Source organism: Homo sapiens, chromosome 15, assembly GCF_000001405.40.
Source record: "Homo sapiens chromosome 15, GRCh38.p14 Primary Assembly".
In the NCBI taxonomy this organism is placed as follows: Eukaryota; Metazoa; Chordata; class Mammalia; order Primates; family Hominidae; genus Homo; species Homo sapiens.
Window position 1 is genome coordinate 20,141,074 of NC_000015.10, and position 25,539 is coordinate 20,166,612.

Here is a 25,539-nt window from a genome sequence, read left to right on the forward strand (position 1 = left end):
ATTATATTCATAGAACACTACTGGAAGCAAAGATAGTATTAGTTAAAATTTAGTGATTACTGCAAATATTATTACTATTACAAACAATATAGTATAGACATTACTACTAATATAGTTATCTTAAAAATCTAAAATAAAAATTTTATGTAATAGCCTAATGTAATCTCTCCTGCTCTGCCCTGGTTCAGCCCTAGTGCCGGCTCTGCCGCTAGTCCTACTACATCCCTGGCCCTGATCCTTCCCTGGTCCAGCCGCTGCCCTGGCCCTTCCCATCTTCAGGCCTTACCATGGCCCTACCCTGGTCCTGACCCTGCCCTGGTCTGGTCCTGACCCTGGCCCTACCCCAGAGAAGGGGTATGGCAGAGCCAGGGAAGGGCCGGGGCAAATAAGGGACAGGACACATCCAAATCCAGGAAAGGGCCAGGGCCATGACAGAGCCAGGGCGAGTCCTTGGCAGGGCCAGGTTCCAGGCCAGGGCCAGGAAAGGGTCATGACAGGGTCACTGTATGGCCAAGGTCCAGGCCAAAGCCAAGGCAGTGGCAGGGTCAGGTCTGCATAAGGGCAGGACGAGAGCAAGTGATATGGCAGGGCCAGGGCCAGGGCTGTGCCAGGACAGAACAAGAGCAGAGCAGGGCAGGACCAGAGCCAGGCCATAGAGAGAGTAGGGCAAATGCCAAGGCAAGGCCAGGGTAGTGCCAGGTCTGAGGCGAGGTCAGGGAAGGTCCAGGGCTGAGTCAAGGCTAGAACCAAGACGGGGCAAAGGCCGAGGCAGATCTAGGGCACAAGCGGGGCAGATCTAGGGCACAAGCATGGCAGGCTAGGGCAGGGCAATGGCAAGACCAGGTCATGGCAGGGCCAGCCCAGGATAGAACAGGGCACAGGCAGGGCAGGGCCAGGGCCATGGCTGGGGCAGGACAAGGACCAGGACCGGGGTCCAGGCCAGGGCAAGGGTATGGCCAGGGCAGAGGTAGGGCCAGAGCCAGGGTCTGGGCAGGACCAAGGCAGGTCTATTGCAGGGCCAGGGTTCAGACCAGGGCCAGAGCAGGGCTGGGACAGGGCCAGGGCCAGAACCAGGAAAGGGCAATGTCAGAACAAGGGCCATGGCAGGACCAGCAATGGGGCTGGGGCCAGGACAGGGACAGGGACAGGGTCAGGGATAGGGCCAGAATAGCATGCCAAGGTAGAGCCAGGCCAAATTAGGGCCAGGACAGGGTCAGGACCAGGGCTGGACCAGGGTATGGCCTTAAGTAGCGAACGGCCAGGGCCAGGGTCCATGCCAGTGCCAGCGCCGGTCCAGGGCAGAGGCAGGGCCATGGCCAGGTCAAGGACAAGGCTGGGGCAGGGCCAAGGTCTGGGTCAGGGTAAGCACAAGACCAGGACAGAGCCAGGGGAGGGACAGGGCCATGGTAGGGCCAGGTTAAATCAGGGACAAGACACCTGCAAATCCACTTCAGGGCCAGGTCAGGGCAGGGCCAGTTCAGGGCCAGGGCCAAGACAGGGCCAGGGTCACGGCTGCCAGGGTCATTGGCAGGGCCAGGGCCATGGCAGGACCAGGGTCAGGAGCAGGGGTCAATGCCAGGCCAAGGCCACACAAAGGACCAGGTCTGTGCTAGGGCCAGTGTGAGGGCCAAGGCAGGGTCAGGGCAGGGACAAAGGGAGGGCAGGGCCAGGGCAGGGTGGAGCAGGCCCAGGGTTGCACAGGGTTAAGGTAGGGCATGACCAACCAGGGCAGGTCTATGGCTGGGGCCGGGGCAGGGCCAGAGCCAGGGCAGGGCCAAGAGAGTGGCAGCTCCAGGGCAGGGCCAGGGTTAGGACCACGGACATGTCCAAGGCCAGTGCCAGGGCAAGGGCAAGGGCAGGGGCAGGGCCAGGTTCATCTAAGAACCAGGGACAAAGCCAGGCCCAGAGCTGGGCCAGGACAGGTACCTGGCAGGGCTAGGGTCTGGGACAGGGCCATGGCAGGGCCAGGGCCACAACCAGGTCTGTGCTATGGCCAGGTCCAACACAGTGCCCAGGTAAGGCTAGGGTGAACGCCAAGGTAGGGCCAGGGCAGGGTCAAAGCTAGGCTAGGGCCAAGGCAGGGCCAGGGCCGGCAAGGCAGGGCCAGGAAAGCATAGGGCCAAGGCAGGGCAGGGCCAGGCCAGTGCCAAGACCTGGGCAGGGCCAGGGCCAGGACAGGTCCAGGGCAGGGCCATGACAGGGCCAGGGGCTGCGTTAGGGCAAGGGCAGGGCCAGGGCAAGGTAAGGGTCAGGGCCAAGGCCAGGGTAGGGACAGGGCAAGAAATATGGCAGGACCAGGGGCAATGCCAAGGCCAAGGCTGGGCCAGGGCTGAGCCAGGGCTGAGTCAGGGCAGGGCAGGGCAGGGCATGGTATGGCCAGTACAGGACAGGACAAGAGCTGGTCCACACAGAGAGCAGAGCTGATGCCAAAGAAGAGCCAGGCTAGTGCCGAGGCTGAGGCAGTGTCAGAGCATGTCCAGGGCAGGGCCAGGGCCAGGGCCAGAACCGAGCCAGGGCACAGCCAAGGCAGGGTAGGGCAGGGAAATAGCATGGCCAGGTCAGTACTGGGACAGGGCAGAGCAGGGCAAGGCGATGGTAGTGGCAGGGCAGGGACAGGCCAATGCAGAGCCATGTTACGCCGGGGCCAGAACACCTCCAAGTTCACTTCAGGGCCAGGGCTATGGCAGGACAAAGACCAGGGCCAGGATCAGGGCCAGGTCTGTGCTAGGGCCAGCTCCAGAGCAGGGTCTAGCGAAGACTAGGGTGAGGGCCAAGGTAAGGCCAGGGCAGGGTCAAAGGCAGAGTAGGGCCAGGGCAGGGTGATGACACATCCAGAGCACAGCAGGGCAGGGTAATGGCAAGACCAGGGGCAGACCACTGCCAGCTCAGGGCCAGGGAAAGGCCAGTGCAGAGCCAGGAAAGGGTCTGGGTCTGGGTCAGGGCCAGGAACAAGGCAGAGCAGGGCCAGGGCCATGGCAGAGTCAGGGCAGGTCCTTGACAGGACCAGGTTCCAGGCCAGGGCCAGGGCAGCAGCAGGGGCAGGGCCTGGATAAGGGCAGGGCCAGGGATATGGCAGGACCAGGGCTAGGGCCAGGGCCAGGCCATAGTGAGGGCACGGCAAAAGCCAAGGCAGGGTCAAGGCAGGTCCAGGGCAGGTCCAGGGAGCGGCCAGCACCAAGCAGGGCCAAAGCACAACCAGCTCAGGGTAAGGCAGGGCAATGGCACCACTGGGCCATGACAGGGCAAGGTCAGTGCCAGGAGAGGGCAGAACAGGCAGGCCCATGGTGGGGCCAGGGCAGGGATGGGCCAAAGCAGGGCCAGGACATATCCAAGGCCAGGTCAGGGCCAGAACAAGAGCAGGACCATGACCATTGGCAGGGCCAGTGCCATGACAGGACCAGGGTCAGGACAAGGGGCAGGGCCAGAGCCAAGGTCAGGCCAGTGCAGGTTCAGGGCAGGGCCAGTGCCAGGGCAAGACCAGGGAAGGGACAGGGTAGCACAGGGCCAAGACAGGGTCAGGATGGGACCAGAGCAGGACAGGGCCGAGAGTCCAGGTAACAGTAGGGCAGGTACAGGGCAAGGCAGGGCAGTACAGGGCCAGATCCACGGCAGGCGCAGGGCAAAGCCAGGCCCATTGCCAATGCACCAGCCCTCCCTACAAGGCTCCTACCACCTGGTCACTGCTGCAGCCCGTCCATTGCTGTAAGCCTGACCCTGGCTGCAGCCGCCTGCCCTCCTAGCGTGGCCGCTCTCCTACCGCTCTGGTGCACTGCAGTCTCCGTCACTGCCACCCACCTGTAGCGAGGCGAGCCGTGGTGTTGCAGGCTCTAGGTGTCTCCTCCTCCTCCTGGCATGGAGCAGCTGGGCGGGCAAAGCCAGAAAAGCCTAGAGGAAGATGTGAGGGGTGGAAGGGTTAGAGCCTCACCTTGTCATGCCGGCCACTGGGTGGCAGGGGCCAGTTTCAGCAAAGGCACTCACACCCACCCTCCAAAGTCCAGCCTCTCCTTTTGGCCCAAGCTGGCCGGGAACTGAGGTCTGGGGTGGGTGCTGGAGACACCACAGCACCCAGCTCCCCACTCCACAGGAACCATTGGGCCCACTGGGGCTGCACTCCTTGGGGAGCAGGAGAAGCAGAAAAATTCAGACCCAGCCAGCCCTCTGCACCCAGGTGCCAATTCCTGTTCTGGACGCTTCCACGCACAGGGCCCTGTCCCCCGTGGTGTCCCCAGGGGTGCCTGGCAGCCTCTGAGGCACAGACCCAGAGTGCACAGGCCCAGGAACCACGGTGGGTGTGGGGGCTCTGCCATGCTCAGGATTCCCATGCAAACGCTGCGTGCCCTGCCGCATTCCAGTATGACCAAGAGTGGGTCGCCCTCTGGAGTGTGGAGTCAGGGAGAGGAGAACCACTCCTTCCTTGGATGCCAACTCTGTTGACCGCCACCAGCAGTGCAGCCTGATAGCACCGAACTCGTCCCCCACTCCACGGCTAGTCCTGCCCTCAATAGCACCCCCCACCTCTGTCCCCCAATGCCGCCAGTAGCGTATACCTGATAGTGCCCTAACCTGTTCTCCTCCATGGGCATTGCAGCCCCAGAAAGCACCCATAACCCACCTTCCCTGCCGTGGGCAGTGCAGCCCTGTACAGTGCTACCAACTAGTACCCCTAATGCAGGCAATGACACCCTGGATAGCGCCCCCAACCCACCCCACACTGCGAAAGGTGCAGCCCTGGATAGCCCCTGTCCTACCACTCTGGTCATGCTGCAGTCTCTGTCACCGCCACCACCAACCACAGTGAGGCAAGCCAGTGGGCCGCAGACTCTAGCACCCAGCAGCCAGGCATGGAGCAGCTCTCGCTGATGGCCGGCTCCTACCACTCTGACCACGCTGCTGTCTGTCTCTGTGGCCATCTTCTTTCACTACAAAGGAATAAAAATAGGTATCAATAAGAAAAGTAATTTTGGAAATAATACAATCACATGGAAGTTAAACACTACCCTCCTGAATAAATGACTAGCGGGTCAATGAAGATACTAAGACAGAAATTCAAAAATTTCATGAAACAAAGGGTAATGAACACACAGTATACCAAAACTTGTTATGCAGAAAGCAGTACAAAGGCAGAGATTTACAGCTATAAGTGCCTACCATCCAAACAAAAGAAAAACTTCAAGTAAACAATACATCTTAAAGAACTAGTAAAGAACAAACTAAACCGAAAATAAGAAAATAAATAAGATCGTAGCAGAAACAAAATTGAAATAAAAACCTCACAAGATTAAACGAAAAGTTGGTTTTCTGGAAAGCTAAACAAAATTGACAAACTTTTAACCAGGCTAAGTAAAGAGACAAGATTCAAATAAATAAAATCAACAGATTAAAAAAAGGAGACATTACAACTAATACTTCAGAAATTCAAAGGATCATAACTGGCTATTATATGCCAATAAATTGGAAAGCCTAGTAGAAATTGGCAAATTCCTAGATGCATACAACCTACTTAGGTTAAACAACGAAAACATCCAAGACCAGAACAGATTGGTAACAAGTAATGAGATTGAAGCCATCAGAAAAAGTCTCCCAGTAAAGAAAAGCCCAGGAACTGATGTCTTCACTGCTGATGGCTTCACACCAAACAATTTAAAGACCTAGTACAAATCCTGCTCAAACTATTTTGAAAAACAGGAGGGAATACTTCCAAACTTATTCTATGAGACCATTATTACTGTGATACCAAAATCAGACAAAAGCATCAAAGAAGGAAACTACAGGCCAGGATCTCTAATATTGATGCAAAAATCCTCAACAAAATACCACTGAATCAAATTCAGTAATACATTAAAAAGATAATTCATCATGATCAAGTGCAATGTATCCCTGGGATCAAGGGTCACTCAACATACAATGTGATACATCATATCAACCAAATAAACGACAAAAACAGTATCATCACGTCAACTGAAACCGAAAAAGCATTTGATGAAATTCAACATCCCTTCATGCTATAAATCCTCAAAGAAACGGGCACAGAAGAAACATACCGCAACATAATAAAAACTACAGGAAAGACACCCACAGCTAGAATCATATGGAATGGGGAAAAATGGAAAGCTTTTCCTCTAAGATCTGGAACATGATAAGGATGCCCCCTGTCACCACTGTTGTTTAACATAGTACCAGAAATCCTAGCTAAAGCAATCAGTGCAGCCCCTGATATGGCCCCCAACCCACCCTGCCCCCTACCACCAGCAGTGTCGCCCCCCCCCCAATAGCACACCCAACGTAGGCAAACCGCCCCGCCTCCCTGCACCATGGGCATTACAGCACCCCATAGCGCCCTCAACCCGAAACCGCCACACCACCCCCCACAGCCGCACAGTGCAGCCCTGGATAGCACACTTAGCCCACCTCACTGTTGCCAGCAATACAGTCTGGGATAGTGCCCCCAACCGGCTCCCCGCCAAAGGCAGTGCAGCCCCGGTTTGGGCCCCCAAACCACCCCCCGGTGCAGGCAGCACAGCCCCAGATAGCACACCCAACCAGCCACCCAAGACGGGCAGTGACGCCTGAGATAGGGCTCCCAACCCGTCCCAGGCCACCCGCAGTGCAGCCTGGATAGTGCACTTACCCCGATGCCTTTCTACGCTCTGGCTGGCTGCAGTGTCCATCGCTGCCACCAACCACAAACAGGGCTGCAAACAGGAAGTATTTTATTCACCGTCGATGCGGCCCCGAGTTGTCCCAAAGCGAGGCAGTGCCCCAAGGTCTGTGCAGAGCAGAACGCAGCTCCGCCCTCGCGGTGCCACCGGCCCGCCCGCCCGCCCGGGTCTGTGCTGAGGTGAACACTGCTCCGCCTTCGCTGTATCTCCGAAGTCTGTGCTGAGGAGAACGCAGCTCCGCCCTCGCAAAGGCACACAGCGCCGGCGCGGGCGTGGCGGAGAGGCGGACAGCAGCGGCACGGCGGAGAGGCAGACAGCGACGGAGAGGCGGACAGCGGCGCAGAGGCGGACAGCGGCGGCACGGCGGAGGGGCGGACAGCGGCGGAGAGGCGGACAGCGGCGGCGCGGCGGAGAGGCGGACAGCGGCGGAGAGGCGGACAGCGGCGGCGCGGCGGAGAGGCGGACAGCGGCGGAGAGGCGGACAGCGACGGAGAGGCGGACAGCGGCGCAGAGGCGGACAGCGGCGGCACGGCGGAGGGGCGGACAGCGGCGGAGGGGCGGACAGCGGCGGCGCGGCGGAGGGGCGGACAGCGGCGGAGAGGCGGACAGCGGCGGCGCGGCGGAGAGGCGGACAGCGGCGGAGAGGCGCACAGTGCCGGCGCTGGCGCGGAGAGGCGCAGGCCCAGGCTCCACTCCCCAGCTGTGAAAGGGTAAGAACTGAGGGTGGCTGAGACTCGGGGTTGTTCAGGGCGGGGTGGGCTCTGGACCCAGCAGGCCTGGCACCCAGGTCAGGGCTCCAGGGGAGGCCAGGTGGGCGAAGGCCAAGAAGGGGCTGGGGCTGGTCAGGAAGGGCTCCTGGTGACCAGAGCACTTTGCGTGAGCCAGCGTGGGAGGAAGGTGGGCTGGATGAGCCAGGGAGGCGCCGGGAGGGGCCTTGGCAGAGGCGACCCCCTCCGTCAGCCCCCAGGCCACTGAACCCTGGGTAGCGAGAACCGACAGGGGAGACTGCAGACAGAGGAGTGGAGGCTCCCCGGCTTTGGGGGCTCTGAGTGGAAGCATCTAGGGGGTCCCTCAAGAGGCCCCCAAACGCTTCCCCATGGTGAAAAAAGAAGGCGCAGAGAGGGGCACGGCGCCGGCGCCGACGCAGAGGGGCGCACAGTGAGATTTGCTGTGATTTCTTTTATTGCCCCAAATGTACTTCATCTTGGTAGATTTCTATTGGCTTTAAAAATGTGTGTGTTTTGCTGTTGGGGAGTGGGGTATTATACGGATGTCAGATTTTGCTGGTTGACTGTTCAGATCTTTTGTAAATCCTTGCTCCTTTTCTGCCTAGTTTCACTCTGTCACTTACACTAGAGTGCGGTGGCACGAACATGACTCACTGCAGCCTTGACTTCCTAGGGTCAAGTACTTCCCCTGGCTTAACCTCCTGACTAGCTGGTACTATAGGTGTGTGCCGCCACACCTGACTAAATTTAAAATTTTTTGGAGAGATGAGGCCTTGCTATGTTGCCCAGGCTCGAACTCCTGGCCTCAAGCTATCCTTTGTCTTTGCCTCCCAGAGTTCTGGGATTACAGGCATGAGCCACTGTGCCCGGCCTCTGCCTAGTTTTAACAGTTGCTAAGAGGAGGATGTTGAAGTAGATGTCTTCTTGGTGGGTCAATCCTTTTGTCATTAAGCAGTTGTTATGGTCACTTCCTTTTCACCCCATTGGTGAAGGAGGGGTCCCTGCCCTAAAGTGTAGGAGATGGCTGAACACGACACCTGGCGTGGATGGATGAGATTGACAGCAGTGTTTTAGTCACATATACCCACAGCTCAGAGGAGGACACTGCATGCCACACAGGGTCAGATGGGCACCGCACTCTGTAGCGGAGTGAGGGCTGCAGGCTGAGGAAGCAGGCAGGCTTGATAGTAACAAGAGCACACAATGACCAATGGTTCCCGAGGGGGAATGCAATTGGCTTGTTTGAATAAATTCATGGGCTGGCAGACAGGTGAAGTGAAACTTCTTAGGCTGAGGTGCAACTGTTCTGGCTGATAAAAGAACTAGCCAGGTGGGGAGCCTTTCCTGTTGGGTGGCAGGGTAGGGGGTGTCTGGTAGAAACAGGAAAACCCACGGCTAGGCCTTTGGGGCCCTGTGAGGCTCAAAGATGTCAAGGCAGCATAGGAAATTTTAGATCTTAAAATTCAACGAAGACCCTCTCCAGCTCTGGTAAATTATTTTGCTTGAAGTCTACTTCATGAGATATTAATATATTCACTCCTGCTTCCTTAAAAAATTAATGATTTCACAGGATATCTTTCTCCATTCTTTTACTTTCAACCTACTTAGGTCCTTAAGTGAGTTTGAAGTTTCTTATGAACAGTATTTAGTTGGGCCATGTGTTTATTATAGGCTCTCCATCAATCTGTCTTTTGGTTTATTTAGACCATTTACATTTAAGGTGCTTATTGTTACATAATTGCTTATGTCTGATGTTTTTATTATTTGCTTTTTTGTTTCCTTTTTCTTTCCCTCCATCTTGATCTATTTCTGTATAATGTTGTTGCGTGTATCTCTTTGTATAGTCTTAAAGTGTTTGCTCTGGATGTTACAATATGTGTATTGTAATATAGTAGTCTACTGGTACCAGTATTTACCACTTCAAAGTGTGGAAACCTGCCTTGCATTTATGTCTCTTTACCTTTTCCACTTGTATAAATCACTGGCTTGAGTATTAGGTGGTGGTATAGTTTTTGTTTCAGTCGTCAAATGTGATTTTAAGAACTGTGGATTGTCTCGCGTATGTATCCACATTTCTGGTCTTTCCTTTGTCCCTCCTCCCGTAGTCCCATATTCATCCCTTCTGCATAAGAACTTTCTATAGCCATTTTTTATTTTGATTTTTTTGTTTTAATTTTTTGTATTGTGGAAATGACAGAACATATTTCTGTAGCCACTTTTTAGCATGTCTAAATTGACCAGTGACAAATTCCTATATTCTCTTCCTCGGAGAATGTCTTTATTTCTCTCTTCATTTCTGAAGGGTAGTTTCATGGGATATAGAATTTGCAGCGAACAGTTTTTTGTTTGGTTGGTTTTTTTGTTTGGTTGGTTTTTTTTAAGCACTTGAAAATGTTGTGCCACTTCCTTCTGGCCTCCATGGCATTTGAATTGGCGTGTCCCTACAGGCATTCTGCCATTTTTGGTCTTTGTTTTTAGTTTTGAAAGTTTAATCAGTGTTGCTTTCTTTTGGTATACTTTGAGGTTTGCTCAGCTTCTTGAATCTGTAAGTTTATATCTTTCACCAAATGTGGGAAGCCTCAGGAATTAGTTATTTGCATGCTTTCACAGCTCTGGTCTCCTGTGGGACTCAGATAACATAAATGCGTGGTCTTTTGTTATCGTCCCACAGGTCCGTGCAACTCTGTTCATTTGTTTTCAGGTTATTTTCTCTCTATTGTTTAGACCGGGTGAATTCTGTTGATCAGGTTTCAGCTTCTCTGATTCTCTCCTCTGTCGTCTCCACTTTTACTCAATAGAGCCCATCCAGTTAGATTTTTTTAAAATTTCTTTTACTGTATTTTATATTTCTGTAATTTCCATTTGATTCTTCTTCAGTTTCTTTGCTGACGTTTTCAGTTCTTTGATTGTTGCCATAGGATTTGTAGTTGCTTGTTGAAGCATTTTTATACTGGCTGTTACAAGTGATGAGTCAGATGGTTCCAACATCTGCCTATGTAATTTTTTTTATTTTTGCAGGCAGTCCTCCTGTTTAGGTTTAGTCTGTAGGTCTTGGTCTACTTTGTGGGCTGTGATTGCAATGGCAATTTAATTTCAGAGCTTTCATGGTGTTATTTTGGTCTGTTTGGCTTATATGTATCACTGGGATTCTCCCACCAGTCCCTTCTGTTGCCCACCTGAGGGAACAGGGGAGCTGCCCCAGGCTGGGCCACCTGCTGCAGCTAGGTGGGTGGGGAATGGTGGTGGTCTTGGTGTGTGGAGCTGGTTTTCTTGTTGTGGGGAAGATCTCCTTTGATCTGCAGGGACTGAGTCTGCCTGGGTTGCCTTCTATTGCTACGTTGGGAGTTGGGAAACTCTGGGCCTGGGTCACCTTCCTATTGGATGAGGTCCAGGGAGACACCTGGCTACTATGCATTCCCTAGTCCTAGAGTCCCTCAGCAGCCTTTTTCTGTCCACCTTTTGGAATTCTCCATTGATCCTCTCCTGTCTATTATTTCTACAATTTGGGTTACATTTCTTAGGAGGGTATAATGTGTTATCTTCTCTAGACCAGAAATCCTTAGTGGTGGTTTCGGGTTGTAACTGTGCTAAAGGGAGAATTGGCATATTTGTGATGTCGAATCTTTCTTTTCAAATGAGGACGTATCATTATTCAGTATATAATATTTACAACACCTACTTCCTTGGGTTGAAGAATGTGGTTAAGGCAAGGAAAGTACTTAACGCAGTGCCTGGTGTGGAGAGCACTTACGAGTGTTGGTAGTGATGCTATTCCTTTTGTCCTTTGGTAGCCTATTAAAGCTTTTCTTCTTTTTTAAAAAATAAAGTTCCGGTGCACTTCTTGTTAGGTTTATTCCTATTTTATCCTTTTTTGCTTTTATTACAAATAGGAGCTTCCTATCTTTTATAATGTCTACCTGGTTCTTTGGCCCTTATGTGAAAATGTTTTAATAGCCTTCTAAATATTGCTCTCCCAAATGAGTTTTAACTTGCCTCTTTCTTTTGTTATCCTTTTTTTGAGACAGGGTCTCACTCTGTCACCCAGGCTGGAGTTCAGTGATGCAATTATGGCTCACTGCAACCTCTGCCTCCCGGGCCCCCAAAGTGCTGGGTTTACAGTGTGAGCCACTGCACCCAGCCTTACTTGTCTATTTCTTTTAAGAGTGGGAACTATAATTGAGCCCAGAGCTCCAAAAACAAATGAAGGAATGAATAAGTGAATAAGCTCTTCCCATGGGTTTGGTGTGGTTTGGGGCTCTACTCTTAATCTAAATGCTATGTTTTATATAATCTAAAATTTCCCCTAGGTGTGTTACATGATTGTGTTGTGTTGAACTTACATTGAGACTCCTTTTCACATGTACTGGTTATCAGCGTGGGACTTTTCCATTCACTCTTTGAATTATTCGTTTGGGGGACACAGATAGACCTCTGTGTCTTTCATAAAGAGTGTCCATTGGCCGGTTGCAGTGGCTCATGCCTGTAATCCCAGCACTTTGGGCGGCTGAGGAGGGCACATCACGAGGTCAGGAGTTCGAGACCAGCCTGGCCAATATGGTGAAATCCCATCTCTACTAAAAATACAAAAATGTTGGGAGGCCGAGGCGGGCGGATCACGAGGTCAGGAGATCGAGACCATCCTGGCTAACACGGTGAAACCCCGTCTCTACTAAAAATACAAAAAATTAGCCGGGCGTGGTAGCGGGCGCCTGTAGTCCCAGCTACTCGGGAGGCTGAGGCAGGAGAATGGCGTGAACCCGGGAGGCGGAGCTTGCAGTGAGCCGAGATCGCGCCACTGCACTCCAGCCTGGGCGACAGAGCGAGACTCCGTCTCAAAAAAAAAAAAAAAAAAAAAATACAAAAATGAGCCAGGCCTGGTGGCAGGTGCCTATAATCCCAGCTACTCGGGAGACTGAGGCAGTAGAATTGCTTGAACCTGGGAGGCAGAGGTTGCAGTGAGCTGAGATTGTGCCACTGCACTCCAGCTTGAGTGACATAGTGAGACTCCGTCTCCAGAAAAAAAGAAAAAAAGAAACAAAAGAGTGTCCATTATCTATACTGGAAAAATTGAGATTGGGATTTTGACATGAAGTGCGGAAATGTGGATTGGGTCCATTTAGTTTACCTAAACAGATGATGAAATACTAACCGTTTTATGAAGCATTCCCTAGTGCAAAGTTTTGCCTGTGTGTCTAGTGACGGGAGCAGTGAGAATGAGGCTTGGAACACAGAGCGCATTGTGGGCCTGTCGTGGGTGGGGCCAGCAGCACATGCATGCCGGGCTCACAGAGCAGCCTTTGGGTGTTCTTTTCCCAGAGGAGCTCTATGGTGACTTTGAAGACTTGGAAACAGGGGACGTGCACAAGGGAAAATCGGGCCCCGATACTCAGGTATGTCTTTGTTGTAGCTGGCTGTTCTTGGTCATTGTGTTCTGAGAGAGGCCCATATTGAGAAATGCAAATCTTACTTGTGATGTGTGAAGATTGCAGATGGGATGGATAGATTCCTTCCTAAAGGGTGGGGATGTGGAGACCAAAGAGAAGCTTTCTTGTTTACTTGTTAAGTTTTGGACGACAGTTACTACCGTTTCTTGCCGTAGTCATTTGCCAAGTCCACTGTGATTTTTCACTCACAGAAGTCTTAGCTTCTCAGACTTACATTCAACCATTGCCATCATTCTCCTCTTTTTAAATTTAAGTGTCATTTAAAAGAATGAAGTCCCTGTTCTCCCTAATATTTCTTTAGAACAGGGTCTGGGAGCATCTGGGTGAGGGACATATCTGTTATTTTTATTCTAGTTTGTGTTCCCAGCCAGCTTAAGGAATAGCAGCTAATTGTAATGCAGATGTAACAATTTCATGTAGCAGTACCATGTTATTCAGAGACCAAGGTTATGTTGTGTTTTGTTTTGTTTTATTGATAACGATAACAGATTTTTGCTAAGATTTTTGTTTAAATAGAACTTTAAAAAATCTAACGTTTAAAGAAAAGACCTTCATAAACATACACAAAATTTTTTCTCCTGGAAATTTAAGAATGAAGATATAGAGAAACAAGAAAGAAATTGACCCTGATGAAGAAGAAAGTGCCAAGAAAAAGCATTTGGATAAGAAGAGAAAATTGAAGGAGATGTTTGATGTGGAATATGATGAAGGAGAAAGCACATATTTTGATGATCTTAAAGGAGAAATGCAGAAACAAGCACAGGTGAGAAACCTCAGTTCCTCTTAGCCCCTTGTCAAGACTATCACATAGTGCAGGAATCCCTGACTTTCTTTGGGTCCCTGCTTCCTATCCTGCTTCTGTGCCTTTCAGTTGGACTCCTGGGTAGATGCATGTGAGTGTGTTTATTCATGCAGTGAGCTCATTGTTTCTACAGTCAGAAGGTCACCAGAAAAAGATCCATACCTATTTTGTAACAAGAATTAGGAAACCGAAATGACTGAGACATGGTCTCTACTTTTGAGACTTTTACAATGTAGTGATCTAAGACAGTGTGTTCATTTCAGTGCAAGCCAATGCTGCCTATTCTGATCGCTGCTCCCTGATTTGAATGGCAGGTGATCAGTGGCCTGTGTGGCTTATGGACACACAAGAGCTCCCAGGGGAAGTGCTCTCAAAACATCCTGGTCAGAGTTCAGAAGGACATGTGGAGTATAAGGTCAGATGCGGAGATAAGGGAGATGGTGTGGCCCTCCTGCCTGGGGGTGCTGAGCAGGTTGCTGGAGGCGGTGATCTCACTCTGAAGGAGACAGACACAGAAACGTGTGTACAGTTGATGGTGAGCATCTGAGTTGCGTCTTGTTAGTGAGGCCAGGAGTGCCTGTGTAAGCTGGAACAGATTAGGTGTATGATTTGTGAAACGGAGTTTCATCCTAGGTCTTCATCTAGTCAAAGGACTGTTTCCTGATTAGGCATTAGCTTAGTGGTTGCTAGTCTGTGTTGACCTTTGAAAGGCATGACTAGGCTAACTCTGAAGTTTTTGCTTCACACCATTTACAATTTAAAATTACCTAGAGCCTTGTGTGCCATTGGAAAAGACTGAATGTTTCACTCTGAAATGGGAGTCCTTGGAGGGTTTTGAGCAGAGGAGAGACATTCAGGTAATCAGATCACTCTGCCAAGAGATCAGTCTGGTAGAGATCAGTCCGGTGGCACAAACCAGAGGGCTGGCAGTGGAGATGAGACAAAGAGTCAAACCTGGATAGAGTTTATTTGGAAGCTGGGTCAGTAGGATTTCCTGGTGGACTGAATGTGGGATGTGTGAGAGGAAATGAGGATGGCGGCTGGAAATTCCTGGAAGGATGGGTTGTTGCAGGTTAGATAGGAAACTGTCTGCAGATGCAGTTTTGGGAAGATGATGTTTGGTTTGGCTGGGTATCATGCAGACAAGCGGAGCGTCAAGTCTGGAGAGACAGGTCTGGCCAGGGACTTAGATGTACAGCCGTCAGCATGTAGATGCCACTTAACTCTGTGAGGTAGCCAGGGAGTGAGTGCAGAGTGACTGGGAGGAGCAAGACTGGCATGGGCGAGATGGGGCGATTGCGGCTGTGAGGCCTGAGCAGTGCCGAGGAGGGAGAGGGAGAAGCAGTGTGAGCATGCAGGCACGCAGGAGTCCAGTTGTACATGGAGGCGAAGCACTGTTCAGATCCCGCTGCAGTGTTAACTACGGTAAAGGCAGAGTTGACCACTGGAGGAGTCCTTCAGCGTGGAGGCCTTCAGCAATCTTGGCAAGCACCAATTTTCATGGATGTAGGAGAATGGGAGCAGAGGAACTGGAGGCTGCAACTGCAGAAAACTTTTGTGGGGTTTTGCTGCAGAGAGAAGCAGAGAAATGAAGCAGTTTTTGGTGGAAGAAGTGGAATCAAAAGGTTTTGAGATAAGAGAGAGAACAGAGGGAAGAGCTGTTGGAATAAAATCCAGGAAGAGTGGATGGTGTCTAGTGAGCAAGTGATGTGTGGCCCGGAGTAAAGGCATGGACAAATCATCTGTGCCTGAGCTGCCCGTAGAACTTTCTGTGATCATGGAGATGCACGTCTGTGCTTCCCAGTATTGTGACACTGGCCGCAGGTTGATATGGACCACTTCCAGTGTGACTAGTGTGATTGAGGAACTGCATTTTTAATATTATGTAATTGTAATTAATTTTAATTTAAATAGCCACACATAGCTCCTCTATGGGCCAGGTCAGAGCTCTGATAAGGCTGGATATGGGAGGAAACCCTGGTAGAGGGTTGACCATAGAGGTTCTTTTGGTTTTGGAGTGAATCAGGAAACAGCCATCAGCTGAGTGAAGGTGAGGGTGGTGGTGGGTGTTTGAAGACAAGAGAAAAGTGTGAAAGAATTGTTTGGAGAGGAAGGAAAGAAGGTGTGGACTGGGGATGTTTCCAATGTTTGAGCACGCAGGGCTCCACAGTTATCTACATTTGCTGTCCCTTGGAGCAGGAGAGAAGAAAACGGTTGGGACATATTCTGAGCAGACTGTAGAGGTAAAATGTGTAGGTTTTTTTTGTTTTTTTGTTTTTTGAGATGGAATCTCGCTCTATTGCCCAGGCTGGAGTGCAGTGGCACGATCTTGACTCACTGCAACCTCCGTCTCCCAGGTTCAAGCGATTCTCTCACCTCTGCCTCCTGAGTAGTTGGGACTATAGGCAGGCACCACCACACCCAGCTGATTTTGGTATTTTTAGTAGAGACGGGGTTTCACCATGTTGGCGAGGCTGGTTTTAAACTCCTGACCTCATGTGATCTGCCCGCCTCGGCCTCCCAAAGTGCTGGGATTACAGGCATGAGCCACTGTACCCGGCCAAATGTGTAGTATTTTTAATAGGATAAAGCCTACATAATTTTGTCCACAGTTCCTTTACTTAGAAATTGCTCATTTGTTCATGTTAATCCTATGTTTATTACAGATAACAGCATACAGGTTCCCCGCCCCCCGCCCCGTCATGTACAGTTGAATCATGCAGAATTTGAAGATCAAGATGATGAAGCCAGAGTTCAGTATGAGGGTTTTCGACCTGGGATGTACGTCCGCGTTGAGATTGAAAATGTTCCCTGTGAATTTGTGCAGAACATTGACCCCCATTACCCCATTATCCTGGGTGGCTTGGGCAACAGCGAGGGAAATGTTGGATACGTGCAGGTGGGTCCTTTTGCTGCATATTTGGTGCCTGAGGCTCTGTGGATTTCCCCTCCATCAATCATCTTACCCTCTCATCCCCTTCAGATGCGTCTGAAGAAACATCGCTGGTATAAGAAAATCCTCAAGTCCCGAGATCCAATCATATTTTCTGTAGGGTGGAGGAGGTTTCAGACCATCCCGCTCTATTATATCGAAGACCACAATGGAAGACAAAGGCTTCTAAAGTATACCCCACAGCACATGCATTGTGGAGCAGCCTTTTGGGGTAAAATATGATTACAATAACTTGCCTATTGCCGAGATTAAACCTTACAGGCTGCGTTATTTTAGCTTTGTGCTTTTCCTTTCATAAAATTCCACTCCTAAGATTTTTCTCTTTTCTGGGAGCGGGGAGGTGGTTTGGAGTATATATGTAAATCTATATCCAAATCTAAATGTCCATATCCAGTATGTTAAACTAGAATCTAAAATTTGTGGTTTGCTATATTTCTTTTTTTCCTTTTCCTTTAAGACCCTATCACTCCACAGGGAACTGGTTTCTTGGCAATACAGTCTGTCAGTGGCATAATGGTAACTATCTTGGATGATTTCTTTTACAGATTGGTTTGAGAAATATATCCTGAATGTGGGTTATTATGTACATGAGACTTTAAATTGAAAATTACTCATTTTTATTAATATAAAGTAAATTTCCCTTTGCTTTTAATCTTCGTACATCCTTTTCAGTAGGGTGTGGGATTAGAGGAGGGGAGGTGGAAGAATTATAATGGTACATTTCCTATTTTTGTGCATCTTTTGCATTTATTTATCTAAGCAAGTATTTAAGCAGTGCTCACCATGTGCTAAGCACTATATGAGGTTATGAGGAGCCATCAGAGACCACCCAGACACAAGACTCCCTGCAGCTGTGCTGGGGTAGCAGTCTGTTCACTCCATTTTCATTTGACCAGTCACGCAGGGCAGGGTTTACTGGTCCCATTTAACAGAGAAGAAAGCAGAATAATGAGCAGATGGAATCTTCCCTGGAGGTCCAAATTTTAATTTCCTAAACATTGCAACTGTATTTTTCTTTTCCATTTCGTTCCAAATAAATCATTATAGTAAAATTACATTCCTCTGAAATCACTCTCAGGAAAGTACTCAAGTAGCCTTTTTTTTTCTTTCTTTTTTTTTTTTTTTTTTGAGACAGAGTCGCACTCTGTCATCCAGGCTGGAGTGCAGTGGCACGATCTTGGCTCGCTGCAACCTCTGCCTCCTGGGTTTAAGCGGTTCTCCTGCCTCAGCCTCCCAAGTAGCTGGGATTATAGATATGAGCCACTGTGCCCAGCCTCAAGTCACCCTTGTTAGTTTGGCTTACCAACTTTAAAGTTTTGGATTGCTTTTGTCAAACCACTGGGTTGCAAGTTCAGATGGTCTCTCTTGTTTTTCTTAGCTAATTGTCAGTAAAATTCACTTTGGTAATTTATTGTGTCACATAGAATTGAAGTTTTTCTTTTGCTAATATTATTCCTATTTTCAAATTTTGGGGTTCCTGTTAGCCTGATTTTCGGATAGCTGCCACAGGAGTTGTCCTTGATCTGGATAAATCCATAAAAATTGTGAAGAAATTAAAGCTAACTGGTTTTCCACTTCATTTATTAAGGTCTGTATATCTATATATTCTCATATTTATAAATCTCCATATTGTTTGAGAAAAGGAATGAAATACCTCTAAAATATGGGCCTCATTTTTAGAAAAGTGTTTGAAATCTTTTATAAACTTCATATTTTGTTTGCTCCTTTATATTCTGTATTACTTAAATATGCTCAAAAAAGCAGTGGTAAACAGCTATTTAGGAATTGAGGCTGTTACTCCTGACTTCCATGTGAGACTGCCACAGAACTCATATTGAAAATATGTCATTTTATCCACTAGGTTTTGTTTCCTACTTTTTAAATTTGTGTTAAGAAAGGGAAAAAAATCACAAGTTTGTCTAACTCGGTAGAAAAATCGACAAAGCATTTGCAGACAACTTGGCAAGGGTACAGAGAAACGGACGTACTGTTTTTCAGTATTTGGGGAGGGTGGTTTGAGCAGCATTTATTGACAATTTCATTAGTGGGGATGTTTCTATTGAAAACACAGAGTTAGGAAGTCATAAAATGTTCTTGCAATATAAGGTAATAATACCACCAGCATTTATCTTACTGTTTTCATGTTCTAAGTGCATGCATCTGAGTAAAAGGATCTGGGCTGCAGTCCAGTCTGAGAGATGCCAGCAAAGGCTTCCTAGGCCAATTCAGTCCAGTAAATCCCTCTTCGATCTTCTCTTCCACACAGACAGCAGTGATGAGCATGCCCATGAACTCACATGATTATTTTGGGGAAAATGAAAGAGTTGTATTCTTTTTGAGGTAGTAATTCCACTTTCAGGGGCAAATACATTTTGATTATTTTATCACCCTTCAGTGAGTTGTTTTTGTTCTTTAATCAAGGATGTATGTTTGAAGTAAGAAGTAAAGCATAAAGTATATGATTTTGTGTGTGTGTGTTTTTTTATCTTGCTACACCTGTAGGGAATGTTTAATTCTGCCTTGGACGTGGCCAAATTTGAAGGTGCTGTGATTTGAACTGTCATTGGGATAAGGGGGCAGATCAAGAAAGCACTCTGAGCTCCAGAAGGAGCTTTCTGGGCCAGCTTTGAGGATAAGCTGCTGATGAGCGGTGAATGTCTTAAGTAGTATTCAGGGCAGGGTGTTACCATTCATGCTTGACTTCTAGCCAGTGTGATGAGAGGCTGGAGTCAGGTCTCCAGAGAGTTGAGCAGCTCCAGCCTTAGATCTCCCAGTGTTATGCGGTGTGCCCATTCGCTTGTGTCTTCAGCCCCCTGGCCACACCCAGTAACAGTTCTGTGATCTATGAGAATAGTTCCCTTAGCGACCTTTCCCTTCAAATACTTTGCAGCCAGGTAGAGAAGTTTGGAGTGAAGGTTTTGTTCTTTGTTTCTTCGCAATATGGATATGAATCTTCTTTTGAAAATGTTAAAGTAAATTACCTCTTTTCAGATATTGTCTTCATGCGAACTTGGTATCCTGTTTCCATCCCAGCCTTCTATAACCCAGTAGCATCTTTGTTGAAACCAGTGGGTGAGAAAGACACCTGGTCAGGAATGCGGACCACGGGCCAACTCAGGCTCGCCCATGGTGTCAGACTAAAGGCAAACAAGGACTCTCTGTATAAGGTACTGGTCGTGTGTGTGTTAGTAGAGATGAAGCCTGTGCTCTACAGACAGGGAGTCACACAGACACTTTTCTATAATTTCTTACGTACTTTGAATGTTCAAGTATAAAGTCTAACGTTAAATTTGATTGAACAATTGTATATTTTTGGGATATTTTGGAATGGAACACCAAAAAATGGTAATAGTGGTTCTTTCTGGATTGAAGACAAACTTTTCCTTTTTAAAATAAATTTTATTTTATGTATTTGAGGTTGACAATATGATCTTAAAGGATACATATAGATAGTAAACTGGTTACTATAGTGAAGCAAATTAACATAGCTACCATCTCACATAGTTAGATTTTTGTTTGTGTGACAGGAACAGCTAAAATCTACTTATTTAACAAAAATCCCAAAGACAATATATTTTTATTAACTATAGCCCTCATGATGTACACTAGATCTCTAACTTGTTCATCCTACATGTCTGCTACTTTGTATTATTTTAATGTACATCTCCCCATTTCCTATTGGTCATTTCCTATTTGGCCCATTTTTCAACTGGGTTGTTTTTCTGCTATTAAGTTGTAAGAGTTCTTTACTGATTTTTGGATATTAACACTTTATCAGATATGTGGTTTGCAAATATTTCTTCCAGTCTGTAGGTTCCCCTTTCATTTTGTTGGTTGTTCCTTTGCTGTGCAGAAGCTTTTTAGTTTGATGCAGTCCTCCTTGTTTATGTTTACATTTGTAGCCTGGCTTGTGGTGCGATATCCAAAAAATTATTGCTAAGGCCAATGTCAAGAGGCTTTCCCCCTATGTTTTCTTCTAGGAGTTTTATGGTTTCAGGTCTTATTTGGGTCTTTGGTCTTGTATCTGTTTTGAGTTGATTTTTGTGTATGGTGTATGATCAGGGTCCAGTTTTATTCTTTTGCATGTGAAAATCCTATTATTGAAGAGACTATCTTTTTTACCATTGTGTTGTCTTGTTTGCCCTTGTCAAAAATTAGTTGACAGTATATGTTTGGATTTATTTCAAAGGTCTCTGTTCTGTTCCATTGGTCTATTTTTTTGTTTTTGTGCCAGCACCATACTGTTTTGATTACTGTAGCTTTGTAATACAATTTTAAATCAAGAGGTGTGATGCCTCCAACTTTTTCTTTCACAGTAATCTGTTGGCTGTTTGGGGTTTTTTGTGGTTCCATATGAGTTTCAGGATTGTTTTTTCTTTTCTTTTTTTTTTTTTTTTTTGAGGCAAAGTCTCACTCTGTCGCCCAAGCTGGAGTGCAGTGGCATAATCTCGGCTCACTGAAACCTCTGCCTCCTGGATTCAAGCAATTCTTCTGCCTCAGCCTCCCAGGTAGCTGGGACTACAGGCACATGCCACTATGCCTGGCCAGTTTTTGTAGTTTTAGTAGAGACAGGGTTTCACTATGTTGGCCGGGCTGGTCTCCAACTCCTGACCTCGTGATCCGCCCGCTGCGGTCTCCCAAAGTGCTGGAATTACAGGCATGAGCCACTGTGCCTGGCCAGGATTGTTTTATTCTGTTCTGTGAAGAATGCCATCAGAACTTTGATGAGGATTGTGTTAAATCTGTATATTTGCTTTGGGTAGTGTGAACATTTTAACAATATTAAGTCTTCTGATCCATAAACATAGGATGTCTTTTCATTTGTTCATGTCTAAATTTCTTTCATCAATGTTTTATGGTTTTCAAGTGTACACATCTCTCACCTTCTTGGTTAAATTTATTCCTAAGTTTTTGTTTTTCTTTGATGCTATCGTAAATGAGATTATTTTCTTGATTGCTTCGTCAGCTAGGTTATTTGTATATAGAAATGCAACTGATTTTTATATGTTGAGTTTATACCTTGCAGCTTAACTGAATTGATTTAGTAGTTCTCACAGTTTTTTGTGGAATCTTTGGAGTTTTTTACATAAAGGATCTTGTCATCTGCAAATAGAGATAATTTTACTTCTTTAATTTAGTTGCCTTTTTTTCTCATCTGATTGCTCTTGCAAGTACTCTATTGAATAAAAGTGATGAGGCTGGCCATCCCTATCTTGTACTCAATCTTAGTGGAAAAGCTTTAGTTGTTCCCCACTAACTATGATTAGACTGTGGGTTTTTCATAAATGGTCTTTATTATGTTGAGGAACTTTCCTTCTATACATAAACTATTAAGAGGTTTTATCAAGAAAGGTTGCTAAACTTTGTTAAATGCTTTTACTGCATCAATTGAGATGACCATGTCGTTTTATCTTTCATTGTGTTAATGTGATATATCACATTGATTGATTTACATATTTTAAACCAGTCTTGCATGCCAGGGATAAATCCCACTGAAACACGATGTATAATGTTTTTGATGTGTTGTTGAATTCTATTTGCTAAAATTTTTTTAGGATATTTGCATCAGTTTTTAATTTATTGGAGAAGTTGACCTGTAGTTTTTCTTTGTTTGGGGTGTGTGTGTGTGTGTGTGTGTGTGTGTGTGTGTGTGTGTGTTTTGGTTTGGCTTAGGTATTAAGGTGATACTGGCCTGGTAAAATGTGTTTGGAATTATTTCCTCTCGCTCTGTTTTTGCGAAGAGTTTAAGAAGTAAACTCCCAGGGGATGGGAGTGACTCTGGACATGGGAGTGACATGATAGTGACTCTGGAACCTGCCGTGGTGGGACACAGCAGCATCTCAGTCTCTGTGAGGCCAGATGCAGCATCAGCAAGGACCCCAGAATGGTGGAGCCCTACTGTGGCTTGGGCCCTTAGGGGCAGGGACCAGTGCAGCAACTACTTCTCTCCCTGGGGAGGCAGGTGCCTGGGCAACTCAGATTCTCCAGAGCTAGTCCAGTTCCAAGGAAGCAGGGTTCTACAGTTGTTTGTCCTGAAGGGCAAGGTACCCCAGTTCAGCCAATGCCATTTTCCTAGGATATGGGGGTGCCATGTTGGCTCATCCCTGGCAGGTGTGGCTGCTCAGCTCAGCCAAGACACTGATTCCCTGTGAAGCAGGGCAGCGCTTCAGCTCTCGTGCAGTGGGGGGTGTGACTGCTCAGACTGGCCAAGGCACTGATTCCCTGGAAAGCAGGGCACCAAGTCAGCTCAGGCTCCAAGGGGCAGGGCACAATGGCAGCTGGGAGGGGAGGGGCACAGCAGCGTAGCCCCACAGGTGGGGTGTATGCTGTGATGTGGACATCATTTGTTCCCACCAGCCATTTGAAATTTCATCCATTTGAAATTTGATTCCAAATGTGGTGGTGTGGGAGGTGGGGCCTAGTGGGAGGTATTTGGGTCACAGGGCAGATCCTTTATGAATAGATTAATGCCTTTTCATGGGACTGGATTAGTTACCAGGAGTGGATTGTTATCAGAGTGAGTTCAGCTTCCTAGACTCTCGTGTTTCCTCTCTTGCCATGTGAGCCCCTTGCGTACACCTGTTTCGCCTTCCACTTTCCCCATGAGATGAAGCAGCCCAAGACCCTCGCCACTTGTGCTGCCCGATCTCGGACTTTTCAGACACAAGCAGGGTGAGCCAAATAAACCTTTTTTATAAAATAAGTTACCCCGAGTCTCAAGTATTCTGTTACAGCCACACTAAATGGCCTAAGACAGTGTAACAGCGGCTCGGGGGTGGTGGGCCACTAGGTGGGTGTGATATACAGCAACAGAGCCTGAGGTTGGAAGAAGGGTGCGGTGGCTGCTCCCCCTGGGTGGGACATGCTCCCGAAGTGGTCCAGGTCCAGGAGGGCACGTTGCAGCAGCAGCTGGTCCATGGGGGTGGGGCACAATGTCAGTTCCTTCTCTGAGGGGAGTGCTGGGGCTACTGGGCCCCTCTTGCTTCCTTTTCCCTGCAGGGAGATATCCCCTCTGCTTCAGGCTGATCCCTCTGGGGGAGTGGGTGGTGGGGGCCAGATGTTTCCTTCCCTCCTTTATGTGACTGTCTTGGTTTTCTGTGCTCTACTGGATTTCTGCTACTCCTTGATGCACTCTGGGGCTCTCTTTTAGTGACTTTCATCAAAATATAGTTGTTTGCTGCTTTGGGTGTCTTTGTCAGGGGATGAGTGCAAGGGGCTATTGATCAGCCCCTTGCTGGCGTCACTCCCTCTTAAACTTTTCACTGGGTACTCTTTTGAACTATTTTTCCCCCACCGTATCCATGTATTTTTTAAACGTTAATGTGCTAATTTCTACTGAAGCAATGTGGATTTTTCTGAAAGTTTTAATGTTTTAATAAGCTTTTTATTGAAATGTTAATGTACATACAGAAGAGTGCCCGAATCATAAGTGTGCATCTAGATGGACTGTAGCACACCAGGCTGCCACGCCCTGGACCAAGCAGTAGCCTTGACCTGTGGCCTCTCCCAGGCACTGCTGCCCCAACACACAAAATAGCTACTTTCCCAGTTCCTGATGTAGATTTGTTCTGCCTGGTTTTGATTTCTATAAAATACAGCACATTCTATTTAGCCTGGCTTATTTGGTTCAGTATTACAGAACACATCCATGTTCTTGTCTGTGGTAGACATTGATTTATCGTCATTGTTGAGTTCCATTATATGACTGTGTCACCATTTTTCCATTGATGAGTAAAATGATTTCCTATTTTTGGCTGTTATCCCACGGCCCTGAACACTAGGTCTGGATATGGGACTTGCAGGTATGCAGGGGCAAACGTGCTTCTGCTGGAGGATCCCTGGGTGGGGTGGAGACTCCAGGGCACCTGTGCTCTGCTTCAGTGTGGAGGCTTCTGTGTCGTGTTCTGGGAGCACAGTGTCTTGGCCTCCACCACCAGCAGCAGCTTAAAGAGTTCCTGCTGTTCCACATGCTTGCCAACAATTGGCCTCTTCAGTTTTTGTTTTTGTTTTTTTTTAGGTTTTCAGTGCCTGCCTGGACTTCTGTTTTCATTTAGATTTTGGTTTCTTAGAACTTTCGTTATTCTCTTCACAGCTTAACAATGCATTTGAATAGATTTGTTTTCATGTGGAGTATTCAGTTTTGTAATAAGAGGGTTGTTCAAGGCATCAGTCTGCCACTCTGCTGGAAATAGAAGTCTCCCAGGCATTTCTTTTTAAAGTAGTTAGTGAAATTTTGAACCATCTTACATGAATTTTTATTAAAATACACTTCAGGATGTGGTGCCCATTATCCATTCTACTCTTTTGTAACAAGTAGATTTCTCTGCATTCTTGAATTTGAAAACAACTGGGGTTCCTAAACAGAGAATATGGAATATTATTGGGGATGATGTCTTTAATAATACATTTCAAGATAGGAGAAACCTTTTCTATATAGTTGACTTTAATAAAAGCCTAGGGCAAAACTTTCAATATATTAACAGTATTTATGAGGCAGTTAAGAATTTGGGTCATCTCCGTCTCCACTAAAAATACAAAAAGTTAGCCAGGTGTGGTGGTGGGCGCCTGGGCTACTTGGGAGGCTGAGGCAGGAGAATGGTGTGAACCCGGGAGGCGGAGGTTGCAGTGAGCCGAGATCATGCCACTGCACTTTAGCCTGGGCGACAGAGCGAGACCCCGTATCAAAAAAAAAAAAAAAAAAGAATTTGGGTCATCTCAATTAAACATAGAATTTAAGATTACGTTGAAAATTCAGTACAGAGTATTTTGCCTTCATCTGTTGTTTGAGTCTCCCTTCTTTTAGCCATCCTTCCATCAGAAATAGAATACCAAGTTAAACTTCTTAATTAGAATCAGGAATCAGGACTCTTTGGCTGCTGATTGAAGGAAGAACTGTCCTTAAATCCAGAGTGGGCCGGGCATGGTGGCTCATGCCTGTAATCCTAGCACTTTG

The 25,539-nt window shown here is 47.6% G+C and overlaps 1 pseudogene; it reads left to right on the forward strand.

Moving 5' to 3' along the window:
* On the forward strand, window positions 12,703-19,753 carry BMS1P15 (BMS1 pseudogene 15; annotated as a pseudogene).